This window comes from Homo sapiens, chromosome 8 (assembly GCF_000001405.40).
Source record: "Homo sapiens chromosome 8, GRCh38.p14 Primary Assembly".
Taxonomy (NCBI): domain Eukaryota; kingdom Metazoa; phylum Chordata; class Mammalia; order Primates; family Hominidae; genus Homo; species Homo sapiens.
Window position 1 is genome coordinate 55,349,750 of NC_000008.11, and position 20,982 is coordinate 55,370,731.

The window sequence follows — 20,982 nt, forward strand, 5'->3', positions numbered from 1 at the left end:
AATTTTAATGATAATACATAAGGGTTTAAGAAAATAAGGACACTTATCACTACCAATTAGTACAGTCTTTCTAGAGAACAATTTTACAATATATATCAAAAGCTTAAAAAATATGAAAGCTATTTCAGCACTTTAGCTACATGAAAGTTTATTACAGCATTGTTTATGAATTTCAAAAATAACAATGACACATGATCCCACCACTGAGAGATCATCACTTTAATATTTTGGTGTTAAATGTCCTAAATTTTATTCTGTGTGTACACACACACACATACACACACACACTTAAAATTATTAATGGGATACATTGGCTATACTATTTTAACCTGCCTTTTGCCTTAACAATATACAATGAATGGATGTGTTATAATTTGTTTAATACCTTATCATTGGGCATTTGGGTTTTAACCATTTTTTGTACTATAAATAACACAATGCTGTATATCCTCATAGCTAATCCTGAGTGAATTTGTGCGTGCTCTTTGCCTATAGTTATTTTCAAAGAGCAAGAGCATGTGCAGGACACCAGCCTGGCACTTCACATGACCCACCCGCCCCTACTTCCTAAGGGCAGGACTTCCAGGCTGGTAGATGGAACCTTAATCTAGAATATTTTCCTGTGTCATTCTTTGTAAGCTGGACCCATCAAGGAGTTGCTATGTTGTATGGAGGTCTTTCCTCCATCAAAAATTCAGGCATTTTAAAACTCCCCATCTAAAAGTAAAGTTTGATACGAGCTATATAGCACAGATGAACCTTGAGGACATTATGCTAAATTAAATAAGCCAGTCACAAAAAGACCAATACTGTATGATTCCACTTATATCCAGAGAAGATATCCAGAGTAGTTAAATCCAGAGATTCATCCAGAGTTAAATCCAGAGAAGAGAGAAAGTAGAATGGTAGTTGCCAGGGGCTGGGGAAGGAGGGGAATGGAGAATTGTTTAGTGGATATAGAGATTATGTTTTCTTTTCTTTTTCTTTTCTTTTTTTTTTTTTTTTTTTGAGACAGAGTCTTGCTCTGTCACCCTGGCTGGAGTGCAGTGGCACGATCTCGGTTCACTGCAACCTCTGCCTCCCAGGTTCAAGTGATTCTCCTGCCTCAGCCTCCTGAGTAGCTGGGATTACATGCGTGCGCCACCACACCTGGCTAATTTTTTATGTTTTTGGTAGAGATGGGGTTTCACCATGTTGGCAAGGCTGGTCTCGAACTCCTGACCTCAAGTGATCCACCCACCTTGGCCTCCCAAAGTGCTGGGATTACAGGCATGAGCCACCATGCCCAGCCAGTGTTTCCATTTTCTAAGGTGAACGGACTTCTGAAGATGGGTGGTGGTGATGTTTGCACAGCAATGTGATGGCACTTCACACTCCTGAACTGCACACTTAAAATAATTAGGACGGTAAATTTTATGTTATATATAGTTTACCAAAATTAAAACAAAAAAACTCCCCATTCAGGACCTGAAAATAGCTTTTATTTTTTTTTGTCATCCTTGGTTTATAGATGTTTGAACTCTGTATGTGCAGTATTAGAAGGTTTGATTTTGTGTCTTATTATGTGAAACTCTGTGAAACCTAATACTGGTTGTTTTATTCTATTGGAAGAAACCTGTCACCAGGATCAGATTAACTGTGAGCTCAAGGTGCTATAAAAACAAACGTCTCATTGTACCAGAAGAGTTCAAGTCCCTGGGGAGCATGTTTGTAGCTTTTTAGCCTATAGAAACAAACAGCTGGGAGTATACATAGCCTTCTCCCAGAAAAAAACTGGAAAGAAAGTAGCTCAGGGAGGCATTTGTGGGAGTTCTACTGACCATGGAGGTCCTGAATTTAAACCTTCTGTTAGAATTGCAAGGAAGTGGAGCATTTATTCATTAATTTGTTCACTCCCTGCAAACACTGTCTGTGCTTTCTTCACAAGATAGCCAACTCTTACATCTTCACACAGCCAACATCACTGGCCCCCCTGATCAAAGCCAGCATCTTTTCTCACCTGGATTATTGCACTAGTCTTCCGGCCAATGCCCCTACTTTTCTCCTGGCCCTACTATCCTTTATTTTCCATACAATAACCAACTTTGTTAAAATGCAAGTCAGATTCCCTACTTTTCCATTCAAATCTCTCCAGTGACTTCCTGTTTCCCTTGGACAAAAACATAAAATTGCAAATATTGCATGTGTTCAATACATACTCATTGAATCCATAAAAGGATGCATGTTAATTGAGTGCTTATTAATCATCAGAAACTGAGCCAGATGTTTCTTTATAGGGGTACAAAGACAAATGACATTCTTTCCTCTCTGGGAGTTTATATTCTAGAATATGAGATGAACTCACAGATGAATACATACAAAAATAATGTTATTTTTCCCTAGTTAAAGTCTGAGTAAAGATAATTTGGGCTCAAACAATGGAATGGCCAGTTTTACCCGGGTGGGGAGAGAGGCCAAGGGAGAGGGAATTCTTGAGTATTATAAAATAGTAGAGATTCCAGCGTGATAAGGAATGTGTAGAGGCATTCCAGGGCAGGAGAACCACATGAGCAAAGGCACGAGGTGTGGATTCATCTCCAAGGAGCAGGGAGTGTTTCAATGAGTGTGGGAACATAGAATATGGGATAGGGCATAGAGGCCAAAGGTTAGGAAGAAAGGTTAAAACTAAAAGTTTTAAACTTAAATGCCTTCATTTGCATTGATTGACTTTACTGTTTTGTCTTCTAGGCAGTGGGGAGTCATTGAGGTTTGGGTGATGGAAATTGGATTCAATGTATGTCACAGACAGGTCACACTAGAAGCAATGGGAAGAATCCATTAGCGTTTTCAAAGTCAATCAATAAATAGTAAGAACTAGCATTTACTGAATGCTTACTATCTATTAATACCAAGCTCTGTGCTGAGTCCTTCACTTTTATTACATTTAATTCTCAGGTCAACCTATGTGATTGGTACTGTGATTTTCCCCCTTTAAAGATGGACATATTAAGGCAGAGAGATTTTAAGCCCAAAGTCATACCATTAGTAGATTAAAGAACCAAAATAGAAACCCAAAGAATCTGACTTTAGTAAAGGGAGAGGAAAAGAAATATATTAAAGAGATAAAAGCTCCAGAATATAGTTACCAGATGTAAGTAGTAAAGGCCGAAAATGCCCCCTAGATTTAGCTTAATGGATGGACAACTTAATGGATGGAAGTGTCTCCCCAGTATAGCAAATGGGACAAATTTAGAAAGAAGTCTAACAAGGTGTTTTGAATATGTTTGCTTTTATATGATTGCAGGAAATCTGGAAAGTAGATGGGGACATGGGTTTGAATCTCAGGTGAGGGTTGGAGTTTGAGATGCAGACTTGGAAATCATTAAACAGGGGAGGAGAAGTCATGGAGTGAACAAGATCAAACACTGATAGAAAAGTGTTAGGGTTGAATCGTGTCCTCCCTTACAGATACTGAAGTCCTAACCTCATACCTGTGAATGTGACCTTATTTTGGAAATAGAATAAGATCTTTGTCATGATCAAGTGAAGATGAGATCATTGGGGTGACTCCTAATCAGTATGACTGTGTAGTTATATAAAGAAGAAATTTAGACACAGAAACAGACACACACACAGGGAGAATGCCCTGTGAAGAAGACAGAAATTGGGATGATGCCTCTACAAGCTGAGGAATGCCAAAGATTGCCAGCAAACCACCAGAAACTACTGAAGGGTGGCATGCAACAGATGCTTCCTTACAGACTTCAGGAGGAATGAACTCTGATGACACCCTGATTTCAGACTTCCAGTCTTCAGAACCGTGAGATAATAAATTTCTGTGATTTAAACCACAGTCTGTCACACTCTGTTAAAGCAGCTCTAGGAAACTAATACAAACAGGTTGCATATTCATGGAGTATTCAAGGATGATTGGTGATGATCGAATGGAGACTATTTATTCAAAAATGTGCCTGGCAGTCAGAGAATCAGGAAAGGCTATTCCAGGGCTATTCCAAGCATAAGCATGTGAACAGCCATGGAGGTAGAAGAAAGGAAACACCAGCAGTTGGCACTGAGCTCATCACAAGCTGCAGCCGTGCAGCGGTGGGAGAAAGAGATCTGCCCATGAAAGTCCCTGTAAAGTGCACGATAGCAAGCTTCACCTTAGAGTTCATACAGAGCAGCCAAAGGTTCAAGGGAATGATTAAAGCCATTTTGTGTTTTAAAATGGTATGTTCTGCAAATATGGTGACAATGGCAACATCATTCTTTAGTCTACCAAAATTATCGAATTAAAATAGGCAGAGCAACTAGGTTGATAAAACTGAAGAATTGTGGATGATAAAACAGTGTTGAGATACCCCCATAATTACCTAGAGACAAATTAGTGACAACATGTAAGAGCCAATGTGATATCAAAACCATGCAGGAGAAAGCAGAGGGAAGACCTTGAGAACCAGATACTCCCTGAGAAGTGCCCTGAACCAAGCTCAGAGTAGGAGGAGAGATATGGAGGGAGGGTGTTCTCAATGATCCAATGCAGGGGTGAGTCCAAGGAGGCCACAGTGCAACCAAATCTGATGCTACTGGAGCAGGCTGGGTCCTTTAATCCCATTAACTAAGAAACTGAAGGCCTTTCCCAAACAAGCCTCCATACTGAGGAGAATCTGCTGGGAATAGATTCCAAACTGAGTAGGACAGGGACAACCGCAAAAGATGAGAGAGAATGTCCAAATAAAAGGGGGGAGGAGCAGAGGCAGCTGATAGCAGAAAGTAACAAGTGATTCTGTTTACCACTTCATGAGAACACCAGAAGAGTGTGTTAGAGCTGTAAAACCAGCTCAGCTATCCTGGCCCACTCATCCCTCCTAAAAGTATAGGAAACTAAATTAACTTTTAAAACTTAGCAACAAGAAAATTATCAATTATTACAATGAAAAGAAAGTAAGAAAACTAATGATGTTTCTATAGACAATGAAACAAAAAAAAAACACACATGCACAAAATGGATAAAAATCATAAGCAAATACCTCTAAATGAGCTGAAAGAAAATTTTAAAATTGTAAAAGCTATGAAGAACAATATAAATCAGAATTAGAAAAATTCATAAAAGAAATAAGTAGAAAAAAGTAATATTTGACACAAAGGATGATGGATAGGACTCATCAGTATAGAATTTTTTTTTTTTTTTTGAGATGGAGTTTCATTCTTGTTGCCCAGGATGGAGCGCAATGACATGATCTCGGCTCACTGCAACCTCCGCCTCCTGGGTTCAAGTGATTCTCCCGTCTCAGCCTCCCAAGTAGCTGGGATTACAGGCATGTGCCACCACACCCAGCTAATTTTTGTATTTTTAGTAGAGAGGGGGTTTCATCATATTGGTCAGGCTGGTCTTGAACTCCTGACCTCAGGTGGTCCGCCCACCTCAGCCTCCCAAAGTGCTGGGATTACAGGTGTGAGCCACCATGCCCAGCCTAGAATTTTATATTTAAAAAAAAAAGCAGGACAGACATGAAAACTCAACTGGAAGGGATATGGCACTATACACACACCACAGTGAGAAGATGAATAGAAGACGGAGAGGAGGAAAAATCAAGAAGAAATTTGAGATTAGAAGGATTCAAAAGAAACTGTTAGACACAGAATAAAGCAGATATAGCATATATAATCAAGAGGAGGCATCCAAGAAGAAAGACAAAGCAATGGATTAGAAAAAATACTGAATGCTATCATTCAAGAAAAATTAAAACTACACATGGAAACCTGAAGCTATATAATGAAGATACATATCACATTCTTCAGAAAATGGATGCAGAACAGCCGATATCAAGGTACATTCTAATAAAACCATAGATCTCTAAAAAGAAACAAAATATGCTTGGGACTTCAAAGCAAAAAGATCAAGTAGCTTATAAGAGAATGAATGTCAGATTTCTATCAGACTTTTCCATAAGAACACTAGGCTAGTAAACAACGAAATGACAGATTTAAAGGGCTCAAATAAATAAATGGCAGATCTTGGGCCTTGCATGGAATATGCATGAATTCTATATCCATCCAACCTAAGCTTTCGGTGAAAAGCTTGCCTGGATTTTCTGCACCTGCACTTCCTTGCTGTATCTCTGCTATCCTTCGCTCTTGGCATCTGAGAATCTTTGCACTAGGTAAATGCAGTTCATTCACAGACTCTAAAAGTAGGTACCAATCTCCAACTAAAACTGTGAAACTTTTGGGTCTGTGTAACCAAAAGAACCTATACTCACCCAAGGCAAGATTGAGAACTACATACTGTTATAAATATGCAAGAGCTCAGGAAATATTATCCCTATGTACCTTTCTTGAGGGATCTACCAGACAGCAAGCTCCAGACAACCAAATACTGTAGAGACATTGGCAAGAGAGCTGGAGAAGTATTCTAACAAGTAAGTAAAGAAGGATGATGGACTCTGAATATCACCATTTTGCAACCTTGATTGCAATATCATCAGTATATGGTAAGATCATAAAATAGAACAACTAATTCTGATGTGCTTCCTGATGAAAGTACACAATATCACCTGCCAAAAGCAGTCGAACTTGAAGCTGATCAAAATTCTAACACTAATTACCCATTTGCAGAAAACACAAAGGATAGATATGTTAACCACACCATGCAAATACAATCATTAAAATCAAGACAAAGAAAATATGCAAGAAATTTAAAAGGACATGGAAGGATAATCCATGTTGTAAAAAAGACTTAAGATACATATCAAATAATCATCTTATGTGGATCCTGTTTGGACTGCATTTCAAACAAACTTAAAAAATTGTGATAATCAGGAAAATATGAACATTGAGTATTTGATACTGTTAAGAAATTACTATATTTGTAAATGTGATCACAATATTGGTTTTAAAATTATTTTAAATAAAATACTTATAGATGAAATAATGTGATGCCCGGGGTTTGCTTTAAAATAATTTGGTGACAGGACGTAAGTGGAGGTGCAAATAAAAAAGATTGGCAATATGTTGATAACTCCAGTTGACCCTTGAACAATACAAGTTTGAACTGTGCAGGTCTACTTACAGGCAAATTTTATTCCATCTCTACCAACCCTGAGACAGCAAAACCAACCCCTCCTCTTCCTCCTCAGCCTATTCAATGTAAAGATGATGACGATGAAGGCATTTATGATCCACTTCAACTTAATAGATAGTTAATAATTTTCTTTTCCTTATGATTTTAATATTTTCTTTTCTCTTTATTATAGGAATACAGTATATAATGCATATAGAAAATATGTGTTGATAGACTGTTTATGTTATCAGTAAGGCTTCCAATCAACTATAGGCTATTAGTGAAGTGGAGAGTCAAAAATTATATGCAGATTTTCAACTACATTGATATCCCAACCCTCATTGTTCAAGGATCAACTGTACTTACACTGAGTGAAAGGGTATAGTGGATGCATTACTTTATTTTTTTCTCCTTTTGTATATGTTGGGAATTTGCAATAATAAAAAGTGATTTTTTAAGGCATAAGAAGGTTTATATGCACATATATTTTGGTATTTCAGGCTTTCATTCTGTCCTAGGAGAAATCCCCTCATGAACACCGTTAAGCACATAAAGAAACTGACAAAAAAGAATGTATGTAGATCTTTAAAGTAGCAAACCCATTCTCCACCTGAATTTCCACCACATTCCACCTCACGCTTCTTCATATTGCAATTGAGCAGAAGGTCTTTATGAGGACTAAAATTGCAGTGACTTCTCAAAGTGAGCATTTACAAATATGGGTACTCTTAAGCAGTTAACTTTGGACTTTAACTCATAAGCCCCCGAGGTAATTGTTTCTTGTGCTTGCTTGCATATGGTGGCTTGCAGAAAAGAACAACCCTGGAGTTTGAATTATAAACTATCATCACTCATCTCTTTCTTATTCTCCATGTTTTCTTTCTAGATATTTCCACACAATATACTTAGGTATTCGAAGCCGACAGAGTGGGGAGAATGACAGATGGAGGTTTTACTGGAAAATGGTATATGAGTATGCGGATGTGAGTATGCTGCATTTGCTAGCCACCTTTCTGGAAAGTGCTCCACAGCTGGTCCTGCAGCTCTGCATTATCGTACAGACTCATAGCTTACAGGCCCTCCAAGGTAAGGGCTTGCAATTTGGTTTCTGAATTTGGGGAAAGATTGACTGGCTACTTTTGTCACAATCCGAGGAACTGTCCTAATGCCCTTTGTTGACACAGGCCTGTGATGTGTCTGCTGTTTTACATGTGTTTCGTGAATGATGCATGATGTTTTCCTACCATTGCTTCTCATGACTGATTAATTGAAAGACAGCGCATTTTTGCTCTCCAGCTGTCCTCTTAGTAGGAAAAAAAAAATCTTTATGATTTTACACTTGGTCGATGTGGGGATAGAGTCAGTCAACTGAGGCTTTCTGGTTTTTATAATGGTATAATTTCCAAAAGTTGCAAAGAAAGCAGTAACTCTCTCTCTCTGTCTCTAATATACATATGTGTGTATGCATGTATGTGTGTGTGTATATATGGTATTAGAGTAATTCCTACTATTTCCTTTTGATGTTGAGAGAGAGAGAGAGACAATGAGAAAAAGGAGATTAAAAGGAAATGGTACAGATTACCCTAATATTTAAAGAAAGAAGGTCATAAAGGAAAAAAAAAATTTGTGAATGTTTATTAATATTTATATACTATGAAGTTTTATAAAACGGATATTATTATCAGATTAATATCTTTGTGCTTTCTCATATTTGATGATCTCATCAGTAGGACTATTCCAGTTACAGCAGAGCTGCCAGGCATTTCTTTAAAGCCTGCTGCTCAAATCCTTTCTAGAATAAGGCAGCAAGAAGATTAGACAGACTGGTGGGTAAGCAGGTGAATACATGGGCACATGGATGATGGATAAGAGGGCATTTTCTAAGGAAAGCATTTCCTATTAATTTGTCAATCCTGTAACTAAATAGATGCTGTTACACAGTTAACGTATTGTAAGGTGCTCGTTTTGTTTGGATCTCAGCAGGGCCTCTGTGCGCCCCTCTGGGCACATGCTGCTCCCTTGTGCTGGGTCATGCTCCAATTTGAGTTTTGTTCTGGTTGGTCCGGGGAATCTCCTCACTGTCCTTATAACTTTTTATGGCATGGAGCATGCTAGTTTAAGCTGAGTGCTTTAATTTGGGGGACAGAATCAGGGTGCATGTTACCTGTATAGGAAAAGGAAGAGAAAATGTGTATTGGTAGCTGGTGACCCATTTATTCATAGATTCCTGGCCCAACCCTAGTTTCACACTAGAATAGCTTTGGTCCAAGAAGTTTGAGAAGAAGGTCAAAGAGATCCACAATGTATGTTTCTCAATTGCTAGACAGCAAATTGGAGGAAGAGGAAAGTGGAGTCTTTGCACAGAAAAAGAGAAAAGCACGGAGAAGGCAGAAGGCCGTGTGAATTAGTTGTGGATGACTGTTTTTCGTTGCGTCTGGTGGTTGAAGACCATGAGCTGGGCATGCAGAGGCCTGGGCTCTGGCTGTCTCACTACCTCACTATAAAACCTCTCACAGCCACTTAATCTCTCTGGGCCCCAGGTTGCTCAAATGTAAAGGTCGCAAGTTAAACTGGATGATTTCCAAACTCCCTGACAGCTCTATTCTATCTTTGAATCAATGAATTCCCAATAGGCATATAATGCCAGGTATATGTTTTAGGAAATGATCTGTAAACCAGAATACAAATGAAATTGAAAGGCAACATCAAACTAAATCTCTGTCATGAATTTAGTGCTCATCTCCAGAACAACTTGGCAACTCCTTAGTATAATTATACAATTGGGAACTCTCTAGAGGGAGAAAATCCAGGAGCACACGTGGAGGGTTGCAAGTCACCTTCTGGTGGCCTGAGGTCACTGAGTATCTCTACTAGTTTTCTAAAAGATTTGGAAAATTATGGAGAGATTTTTCTTCCAAAGATGATGGAGATAGAGAAGGGAAGGTGAGAGAGGGATCTGAGAAAATGAGGTCACATTTTCAGTTTAAGGACGATACATAAAATTGTACAGAAAAAAAAAATGAGGAAAATGCAATCCTTAGTCTTCATCAGATTATTTATCCTAAACATAGGAACCAAGAGTTAAGTTGCGTTTTTTGAGTCTTTGGCTCTTTCCTCACATCTAGTGTCCCCAGCTAACCGATTAAGCTTGACACATATACGTCAGGTGTACCACAGGCGTTGAATGCCAGACCTCGTCCTTAGCCAAGGCAAGCCTTGCTGTCAAGTTTCAGAATGGCGTAGGGAAACTAGGTTCTGTTTCACTCCAAAGGTGGCCAAAAGACAGGTTGATCCAAATATCACTAAGAATCAATGCAAGTCATTGAGTCAAGAGGAGGAATAAGCCCACTATGTTGATCTTATTGCTACTGATTTTTTAACAAGGCAGGTGGGTAGATGGTTGTGTTACAAAACAAAGAGTGAAAATATCTGACAGTAAAAAACGACAGACCCTCCAGCCAACGAAGACCAGCCCAGGCAACACTCTGTGATTCCTTTTGCATTTTGAAGAGAAACCTGAAACCTGTCTTCAGAGGGACAGCTTCTAAATACCCCTCTGCTGATAGATGATCCCACTTACAAACAAACCAGCTGATAAATTAAATTGATGTGAGTTCTAAGAACAGAGCTGTTCCCCTTTAGGAAAAGAAAAATAAATGTGATAACCTAGTTTGACATGTATTTTCATACATCTTCAATGGTTAAATAAAATTATTGGGATTTACATGTGAAAACACAGCCCTCTGCTATGAATGTAAATAATCAATAGGCATGAAATCTGTAAAGGATTTGCAGATAGCTGTGAATCAAAATATCTAAAACATTCTTATTTAGCAGGGAGAGAATGGTCACTCTGTATGTGACTGTCTAAAATTACTATTTTTTAGGATAGAAGGAAAATTGATCTTTAAACCCAATTTCAACCATCCACCACTCTCTGCAGTGCTTTTAAAAAATAAGAAAAATCAGACAAGAAATATGACATTTTATAACTGTTATTAGGTATTGTATTCTCTTCGTGGAAGCTGGGTAGCCCTAGAACACTGTCAGCTGCTTCTCCTTCCTTATGTAGTCACTCAGTCAGAGGAGCCTCCTCATGCTGGAGGCTGACAGGCCCAGGGAGAACTGTTGGAGCATAATTGTTTCTCCATTTGCACTGGCCCAAGAGGCACAGTTTGGCATCTGTTCAGAGAGCAGGAATCAGGGCAAAGCTGAGTCTCAAACCTGAATATGCAGCTCTTCACGCTCCACAGTCACATTGGACATATTACAGGGCAGCAGCTACTCTCCACGGGATCTGGGATGTCCCAGAGCCAGCTCCCCGCGGAGTATAAGATACACACCAGGAGGCCCGACTGCATGCACGGCTGTACCTGCACAGGTAGTGCTCACTGTACTTCCAGAGAGTTTCCAGTTTACAGGTCGTTATGGTTTTCCAATCCCAATCCCTTATCCTCACTAGGAGAGAGGCGGAGAGGGGAGAGGGACGTTGAGAGGGGGAGAGGAGGGCAGGCAGGAAGGAAAGTGGGATGGGGAGAAGGAGGGAGGGAGACCCCACTCGACCGCGGAGATGGACCATGGCATTTCTGTTAGTGTCCACATGGAGGGTGCTGCTCTCTACCTGTTTAGTGAGGGTGCCAAAGATGCTGAGGAAGATGTGGTCCGAGGCCTGTCAGTTGTATCTTCCAGCAAAATCTCACTCATTCGTTTCACCTCATTTCTACTGTGCTACCCTGGCCGGACCATGTGCACTCCCACCCAGACCCCTGTGGATAGCCCACAGCTTCATCCTCACCCGTGCCCTCTTCCTTCCCTTCTCCTTGGAGCAGTCCTAGAGCCGCTTAGACTCTAATCTAAACTACTTCAGTGTTCCCCTTGGCACTCATTAAAATTAAACAAGATTCCTGAGCAAGTTCCAAGGCCTTTGTGTCACAGCCTTCTCCTCATTAGTCACTGCTCTGCAACCACGCTGCGCTCCTCTCTGTTCTGAAAATGTTCCCATTTCTCTCCCACCTCCAGGCCTTTGCACCTGCTATTAACCTCTCCAGAATATTCTCGTCCCCTCACTCTTAGCCTGTCTAGTTCTTACTCGTCCTGCAGAATTCAGTTTAACCTCCTCAGAGTATCCGGTCCTAACTGCTCGTTCACATTTTTATTTCCACATTAGTATTTCCTCAAGGTGTCCTGAACTTCAGCCCCTGATCTCAGGCAATTTTCTTATCGTTGTTAAGCCTCAATTTGCCCATGAATACTGAGGGATAATAATAGTGCTAATTCATAGGATTGTAGAGATTAAATGAGAGAGTACACACAAAGGATTCGGCAGACCCTTGGCCCATTGCATAGGGCTTCTTAGGCTTGATCTTGCAGAAATCTACCAGGGAATCTTATGGAAAAGCAAATTCTCACTGAGTAGGTCTCAGGTGGGGCCTGAGTTTTAGAACAGGGAAATAACAGGTGAAGAATTTGAGGCATGTGAAAACGGGAAAAATAGTTCAAATTTGAGCTCATGAACCCTGAATTAAGGGGTGTGTGTTAGAAAGGAAGTGCAAGAAACATCGTGAAGAGAGAATGGTCAGGTCTTTTGACAGACAGAGCATGGACCAAAAGAGACCGAAGCTTGAGTCCATTTGACTGAGAGAGAACCTGGTGACAATAAAATCAAGCAGGTCAGCAGGAGCAGCCACTTAGGGGGAGAGCATTTTAGACATTTTAAGCCTGAAATGGTGGAGGACAATCAAGTTAAAAAGTCTTGAGACTGCAGAAACAAAGACAGCTTAAGATAAGTCACCCAGAATTTCAGACCTCCATGTCTGTCTAAATGACGCCAGCAAAGGTAGAAGGTTCATGGTCAGAGTTACCCCATCTGGACTTTTCAATGACCCCAAGAACCTGTAAAATGAGCAGTCAGTTTTAGTTTTGTGATTGTCATATTATGAATAGTTTATTTTGGTTGCACAGACCCAGCCTCCCATGATAGGCAGAGAAAATACCAGTTCATGTACAGACAACTGTCCACAGCCTTCCTCAGCAATACAGCCTTGCTGTATCAGAGCTCCCTGGGGTCAAAGGGTGTGCTCCCCAGAGCAGCCCAGAACACCATGTAGAATCACGGCACATAGCGGATGCTCTCAATGAGGGTGTATAAACCACAGCCCAGGCTAAGTACAGCACAGTCACCTGGCTGCACAGGGGAAACATTGTGCGGAAATAATGCTTCCTTGTAGAGGAACCATCTAAGTAAAACAAACAAACAAATATCTGGCCTTCACTAGATGAATTGTTTGAGTGCCAATCCACCAACCTAAATGTTTCCACTTTTTCCAGAAGGCTTTAGTTCTTTGTTTCCCATTGCTACCTTATCACTAATGGAAAATCTCATCCTACACCCTAAGTGTATTTAGCTGGGGTGTGCTGAGTGAGTTACCAACAAATGCCGTCCCACAGGCCATGTGCCCAGGAAAGCTTTACTGAACAAAAACGAAAAACACCGACTTCTCATTCCTTCATATTCTAGAAGAATATGAAAAAAACTCCTTTTGCCAACAGTTTATCCTGAATACTTCGTGAAAGGAAAAGGGAAACAGGGAGCTGGAAGGGGTTTCTAATTATTCCTCTCCTGTCTTGCATCCTATGAGGCTCCACAGGAAGTCAGAAGTAAAGTTGTCCTCAAATATCCGGCAAACACTGTTACCTGCTAACTAGGGTAACCAAGAAATACCTGAATTGTGAAAAACACCTCATTTGTCCTCTCCTGTTGAGCACTCTTGAGACCTAACACTGGCTTGCAACTTGCCCCACCTCATCGCGAAGCAGGTGGAGACAGGTCCCAGCCTGTCTCCAGCCGCATTTAAATGACCTGGGTTAGAGAAAATCCCAGTCACCCCTGTGCCCAACGCCTTCCTCCTTTGCCCCGTACCACTGTCTTCTAATGTGCTTGCCCCTACCTCTGGATTCTGCAGAGGGGGAAGAGTGCAGGCGAGAGTGCCAGTCTGTGAGGGGTCTAGGCTCCAGGTCCCTCTGGATCTGCCTACTCTGCAGTTGCTATTATCGTAGTTAATTAAAACATTTATTGAAAGCTTGTTTGTGCATGATGGTGTGTGAAGCTCTGTGCAACATTTGTACTAAAGAAGTTCACTTTTTACTAAAAGTTTATAATGTGACGCTATAAACAACACGACAGAACATATTTAGAAACACCCATTTATCTGGGTGCATTCCAGACTGAGTGGTGCCATTTTGTAGAAGGATCAATAATTTGGTTTAATTAGGTTAATTAGTTTAAAATGAGAGGGGGGCTTACAGCACTTCCAGCTCACCTGCTCCGGGAAGGGGCCAGGCAGCCTCTGCCTGAGCAGCCGTGTGTCCATTGTCAGACAGTTCTGATGGACTGAATCACACAGTTCCGATCAGACAGTTCTGACGTCCTTAATGGTACTGGAAGGAGCAGGAAGGCAGCATCAAGGACATCTGGTCCCCTCCTCTATCTGACGCGCGAGTCTTTGCTCAAATCCAACTTTGCCCAGCACATTCCACCCCCGGGCCCACCGCCTCAGCTGGAAGGATGCTCATCATCGCGAGACTCCTACGGGATGAGCCCTCCTCTCCAGCTCTGCTCAGGCCACGCCCTGCTCCTTCTGTAGCGTGTTCTCCCCGATGCCCCTCAGGACACTGAATATTCATGCCAAGCAGGTTGCTTTTAGTCCCCAGGCAGGGTTGTCTGAAGTTGAGCTATGCATTCTGCCAGAGTCAAGCTGGTGTCTGAAACTGTTTTTCTCAATGTCCTTCTTATTGTTCGTTTGGTTGGCTGGGTTTTTGTTTTGTTTTGTTTTGTTTTGTTGGGGTTTTTTTTGTTTTCTGAGACAGAGTCTTGCTCTGTTGCTTAGGCTGGAATGCAGTGGTGCGATCTTGGCTCACTGCAACCTCTGCCTCCCGAATTCAATCAATTCTCCTGCCTCAGCCTCCTGAGTAGCTGGAATTACAGGCCCCCGCCACCACGCCCGACTAATTTTGTATTTTTAGTAGAGATGGGATTTCTCCATGTTGGCCAGGCTGGTCTCCTGACCTCTGGTAATCTGCCCACCTCGGCCACCCAAAGTGCTGGGATTACAGGCGTGAGCCACCACACCCGACCAATTTGTCCTTTTTATTGTAAACTTAGGTTTGCATTACATAATTTAGTTAGGTTAATTAGTTTAACTTAGTTTAATTAGTATTATTAATAGATAAACTGATGAAATATAGTGTGAAAGAGAGTTGTTTCTATGAAATTTATGTTGACAGCTTTTGAAAACTTGGGTAGGACCAGGGCAAAGTGGTGTGTTTAATCCAGTTGCATCACAGCCTCAGGACCCCTGGGAGGACCTTTTGGCTGCCCTGGGATGTGGAGCATGAGGCTGCAGCCGGCTCCACTCTTCCGCAGCCTGCTGTGCGCGCTGGCTGCCGCTGGCCCTTCACGCACGACGTTCACTAGGGTGGCACGCACAGTCTTCCAGTGGGTCCAAACCACTGAGCTTTGTTGTAGTATGGCAGATCATTAGCTGCTGGATTTTGCTTTTTGTGATGATGTATCAAGTAGCATACCACCCCAGACCAGGAAAGTAGAACATGTTAGATAATTTTAAAGAAGGGGGCTGGACGCGGTGACTCACGCCTGTAATCCCAGCACTTTGGGAGGCCAAGGCGGGCGGATCACCTGAGGTTGGGAGTTCGAGAACACCCTGACCAACGTGGAGAAACCCCGGCTCTACTAAAATTACAAAAAAATTAGCCGGGCATGGTGGCGCATGCCTGTAATCCCAGCTACTTGGGAGGCTGAGGCAGGAGAATCGCTTGAACCCGGGAGGCGGAGGTTGCGGTGGGCCGAGATCACACCATTGCACTCCAGCCTGGGCAACAAGAGTGAAACTTCGTCTCAAAAAAAAAAAAAAAAAAAAGGGATTTAGATCGAGGAATGGGCGGCACAGGTGCTGGGAGGGTGAGAGGATGAAAAGTGATGCTCATGAAATCAGGAGATTCGTAACTGAAGGAAGAAGCTCTTATCTGTAGGGCTAGAGGACTGAAGGAAGAGGGCTCAGACCTCTAGGGAAGGGTACTGCCTGAGGAGTGCTGGGTGACAGAAGGGGTGCAACCTCGCAGCTGTGGGGACAGCCATGGAGCCAGCCAGGCAGCGAGGGAGTGGGGCGCACCTGGAACATTCCGGCTGCGGAGGGCACAGGCCGGCTGCTGCTGCCTCCCCTGGGCTGGGACGAGGCTGGGGCCAGGAATGCCAAAAGCAGCGGCTGGCTGGAGACAGGCGCTGTGGAGGCCCAGTGATAATAGGATGCTGATATGCAGAGGAAACCAGAAAGTCTCTTCTCCTCTCCTCCTACCTTCCAACCTCCCACCAGTGCCACCTATTGGCAGAACCCACCGGGCAGCCAGCCAGTCAGGGAGTCCAGAACAGGGTCTGCAGAGTCCCCCCTTTCGGGTGGAGGGAGCTGGCACACACTTCCCATTCTGTTTTGTGACTTGCGTCTGCTCCCAGCTGAGAAACTTGATAACGAAGCTTGTTAAAGCTATTTCTGAGTAACAGTTGGAGGTGAAGGCCTGAAAGGCTATGGTATGAGACAAAAGCAGGCGCTCTAGATCATGGAGGTTGTGTCATGAAAACGCCCAGGCAGCCGAGTCTGGCAACTGACATGTCCTTCCTTAAATGCGTGACCACAGACCTCACGTGGCCACTCAACCTTGTCCAGCAAGCCTACCTTATGTCCCCCTTGAAATTCCGTTTCCTGCTCCAAAATGAACTGCTTCCTACTTTCTCTGGTGGCCTCATATTCCAATGGTCTGACTCCAGTATTCTTAACCTGATTTCAGTAAGAAAATAGAGGCAATAAAACAAGAGCTATTTTATTTTCTCACCCATATGTCCTGCCTTTCCTCTGAGAATATGCTGGCTCCCAGCTAAAGTCCTTCTCTTCTACCCTGGAGTCCACTACCACCTGCTCAATCACCCTGTTCTTGGAATTACCCTCTCTCTCCCTATTCTGCATTATCAGTTTTTCCTCACTCCTGCATCACTGCCATCATCACACAAACAAACATGCTGTAATCAAGAAAACATGGACCCACGCCACCACCCACTACCACATTACTTTCTTGCTCTTCACAAACTGCTTGAAAAATTCATCTTATCCTCTGTCTCCTCTTCCTCACTTCCTATCCTCTGTTTTTGTTTCCTAATTTTTAAACATTGTTTTCAAGTGTAACATAGATACAGAAAAGTACACAGTTGTGAGAAACTACTCCCAAGGTCAAAGGAAGAGCGTTTTCAGCATCACAGAAGCCCTGCTCTTACCCCCTCCTTCCCTGTGTGCCCACCGTTCTACATGTGATCACTATTTGAAAAAATTAGTTTTGCAAGTTTTTGACCTTTATATAAATAGAAACATACATTATTGTGTGTGTGTGTGTGTGTGTTTCTGGATTCTTTCATTCAGTGTTGTGCTTGTGAGATATGATTCCACGTAACTGTAACCCATTCATTTCATTGCTCTACAATAATTTATTGTAAGAATAAATCTCTGTCCATTTTGTGGTTGTTGATGTACACTGGTTTGTTTTCAGCTTAGGAGTAATATGGTTAATGTTACTATTGAATATTTTTAATGTGTCTTTAATACATGTGCACACCTATTACTTCTGGGTTCATACCTAAGAGTGAAATTGCTGAGTCATGGGGTACAGACAGACACACTGAATGTGAGTAGATGATGCCAAAGAGTTTTCCAAAGTGCTGGGACCAATTTATATTCCTACCAGCAGTGTGTGTCTTGAGATTGCTCCAAATCCACTCCAAAACGTGGCATTTTGAGTCCTCTGAATTTTACCCATGGGTTAGTATCTCAACGTGACTTTAATTTGCATCTCCTGATAATAATCAAACTGAAAAGTATCTTTCATTCTTCTTTTTCCTCACCCCCGATCCAGTCCATCAGCAAGTCCTGTGTGCTCCACCTCCAAAACACATCCCAAATCCGACCACCCTTTGCTGCCTCCGCTGATAACACTCTCTCCAAACACCAGCTCAGTTACCCTTCTCCAGTGAACTGGTACCCCCCTTCACCTTTTCCCACAGCCTACTTGCCACACAGCAGCCATAGCGATGCGTTTTGTTTTGTTTTTGTTTTTGTTTTTTGTTTTTTTGAGACAGAGTCTCACTTTGTCACCCAGGCTGGAGTGCAGTGGCACAATCTCGGCTCACTGCAACCTCTGCCTCCCAGGTTCAAGCGATTCCCGTGCCTCAGCCTCCCAAGTAGCTGAGACTACAGGCACACACCACCACACCCAGCTAATTTTTGTATTTTTAGTAAAGACGGTGTTTCACCATGTTGGCCAGGCTGGTCTTGAACTCCCGACCTCAGGTGATCCACCCGCCTCCCAAAGTGCTGGGATTACAGGTGTGAGCCATGGTGCCTGGCCCACAATGATCTTTCTATCACTTCACTGCTCTCGTTAAAACTCCCTGGGGACTTCTTGCTGCAATTAAATGAAGTACAAACTGGTGACAGGCATGTGACAAGGCCCCTGCTGTGGAGCCTCCAAGTCTCCCCACTCTCCCACTGGCTCGTGTGAGTCCTGCAGCTCTGGCTGGCCGTCCTCTGTCTCTGAGACAGGCCCTGGCTGCTGCCCCATCAAGGACCCTGCATTTGCTGGACCATTGCCCTTTCACTCTCCCAGGTCTTCACATAGCTCATCCCTTTCCAATCAGGATGGGGCTCCAACATCACTCCTAAAACACACAGCTCTCCCCCTTCCCACAGACGCCCCCATCTACTTACTCTGCGTGATTTTCTCTTTGGACTTCTGAAATTCTATTCATCCCTATGTTTTATTATTATTCTCATCACCTTTACTAGAGTGTGAGCACCATGAAGCAAGAAGTATAGGAAAAGGCCTATAACATGGAAGGCACTCAAAAGTCCTCTGACTGAAGAATGCTGACAGATTTTTACCATCTTCAGAAGCTACTTCAGTTTGTATTGGCTTTTCAGTTGGACTAGCCAATACAGACTGCTCACAAGTTCCTGTGGAATGTCACAGTGTTATTTTACATAAAGGAAAGGACACAATATAAGTTCCCCTCCTTCAAATGCTGTATTTGTAAAACTTTTACATATTTGGAATTTTTAAAATATTTACTTTTATTCCCTATTACACATATTATTAAAGATAAAATAGAAAACCCAAGTATGCATGAAGGAGAAGGTATAAATCACCTTCCTGCCACTCAGAAATGAAAATCTTGGCTGGTTATGGTGGCTCACACCTATAATCCTAGCACTTTGGGAGTCCAAGGCAGGAGGATTGCTTGAGGCCAGGAGTTTGAGACCAGCCTGAGCAACACAGCAAGACCCCATCTCTACAAAAGAGAAAAGAAATTAGCCAGGTGTGGTGGTGCATTCATGTAGTCCCAGTTACTTGAGAGGCTAAGGTGGGAGGATCCCTTGAAGCTGCAGTGAGCTGAGAGCATGCCACTGCACTCCAGCCTAGGGCACAAGCATGATGCTGAGAAAGGAAAGGGAAGGGAAGGGAAGGGGAGGGGAGGGGAGGGGAGGGGAGGGGAGGGGAGGGAAAGGAAGGGAAGGGAAAGGAAGGGAAGGGAAGGGAAAGGAGGAACGGGAGGGAAAGGGAGAGGAGGGGAGGACAGAGAGAGAGAAAGAAAAGAAAAGAAAGAAAAGGGAAGGAGAGGGAAGGAAGGAGAAAGAGAGAGAGAAAGAAAGGGAAGGAAGGGAGGGAGGGAGGGAGGGAGGGAAAGAGAATAAAAATCTTGCCCCTAAGAAATAATTAAGAATTATATTTTGTTGCTTATCTGTGTAAACTTATTTAATGTTTTAATATATATTACATTAAAATAGAATCAATATTGGATACCAGTTTGTGTCCTTTTTTAATAATACATCACAAACATATATTCATAATAATATATATAGTTCTTCATTTTTAATGACCACATAACATACCAATATATGGATTATCCTTTTCTTTTTGAGTCATTTTCTACTTCTGAAACCATAAGTTATTATATATATTTGCTATAATAAATAATGCTATGATAAACACTTTAAGAACTAAATCTCAGCTAGCTTCAGTGGCACACGTCTGCAGTCCCAGCTACTCAGGAGGCTGAGGCAGGAGGATTACTTGAGCCACAGAGTTCAAGGCTACAGTGAGCTATGATTGTACCAGTGTACTCCAGTCTGGGTGAAAGAGCGAGACCCCCATCTGTAGGAAAAACAACAACAACAACAACAACACTAAATCTTTGCAGCAAGCCTTAATTATTTCTTAAAAATAAATAGCTAAAAGTGGAACTGCTGGATTCAAAGGCAAGCAGGCTTTCAAAGTTTTTTATTATATAATGTCAAATTGGTCATTTTGATGACTATGAAGAGCTCTGTAACATCTCAAGTTTCTGACACAAATGCTCAGGAAGTCAGTGAGGTCAATAAAGGTGACAAAGGCTGAGAATGGGGCAAATCCGTTGAGATTTAGGAAAGAGCTCTTAATAGTGCCCCATCTGAATGTAAAGGGCATAATTCTCAGAAGTGTTCTAATTTCTTCCCTTGTTACTTTATTGTATCCACCTTCATAATAAGCTTTATTAAATCTATTAAGTAGCAGTAGTTCATTAGTAATGAAACAAAATTGTAAGAGCAGCTTCATCTTCATCAGAGACTTGATTTGAACCAAAATTATAAGGAGAGTAGACATAAGCTCCTCAAAACACTTCCCAAAAGTCTGACCAATGAGAAGTTGTGAAGAGCCAAACTTATAAAAATTAGGAGCAGCAGCCCCTACATAGGAGAGTTGTGATTTTTTTCTTTGTCTTTCTAAATATATTACATTTATCCAATAGCACTTAGTGCTAAGCCCTCAGGGTATAAAAGAAAGATGAC

General features: G+C 42.0%; 1 protein-coding gene across 1 annotated transcript in view, besides 3 other annotated features; it reads left to right on the forward strand.

Annotated features, from left to right (window-relative positions):
• XKR4 (XK related 4) overlaps positions 1 to 20,982 on the forward strand; it is a 440,027-nt gene that overhangs the window by 247,722 nt on the left and 171,323 nt on the right. Inside the window, exon 2 of the mRNA NM_052898.2 lies at positions 7,929 to 8,128. Within this exon, the coding sequence (NP_443130.1) occupies positions 7,929 to 8,128 (200 nt within the window). The remainder of the gene's footprint in view (positions 1 to 7,928; positions 8,129 to 20,982) is intronic.
• Positions 14,108 to 14,802: an enhancer, noted in NCBI's record as "H3K4me1 hESC enhancer chr8:56276417-56277111 (GRCh37/hg19 assembly coordinates)". NCBI's record gives its function as "activates a minimal SCP1, AML or CMV promoter by ChIP-STARR-seq in naive H9 embryonic stem cells {active_cell/tissue: H9 hESC(naive)}" and the evidence as "EXISTENCE:reporter gene assay evidence [ECO:0000049][PMID:30033119]".
• Positions 15,497 to 16,191: an enhancer, noted in NCBI's record as "H3K4me1 hESC enhancer chr8:56277806-56278500 (GRCh37/hg19 assembly coordinates)". NCBI's record gives its function as "activates a minimal SCP1, AML or CMV promoter by ChIP-STARR-seq in primed H9 embryonic stem cells {active_cell/tissue: H9 hESC(primed)}" and the evidence as "EXISTENCE:reporter gene assay evidence [ECO:0000049][PMID:30033119]".
• Positions 18,144 to 18,645: an enhancer, noted in NCBI's record as "H3K4me1 hESC enhancer chr8:56280453-56280954 (GRCh37/hg19 assembly coordinates)". NCBI's record gives its function as "activates a minimal SCP1, AML or CMV promoter by ChIP-STARR-seq in primed H9 embryonic stem cells {active_cell/tissue: H9 hESC(primed)}" and the evidence as "EXISTENCE:reporter gene assay evidence [ECO:0000049][PMID:30033119]".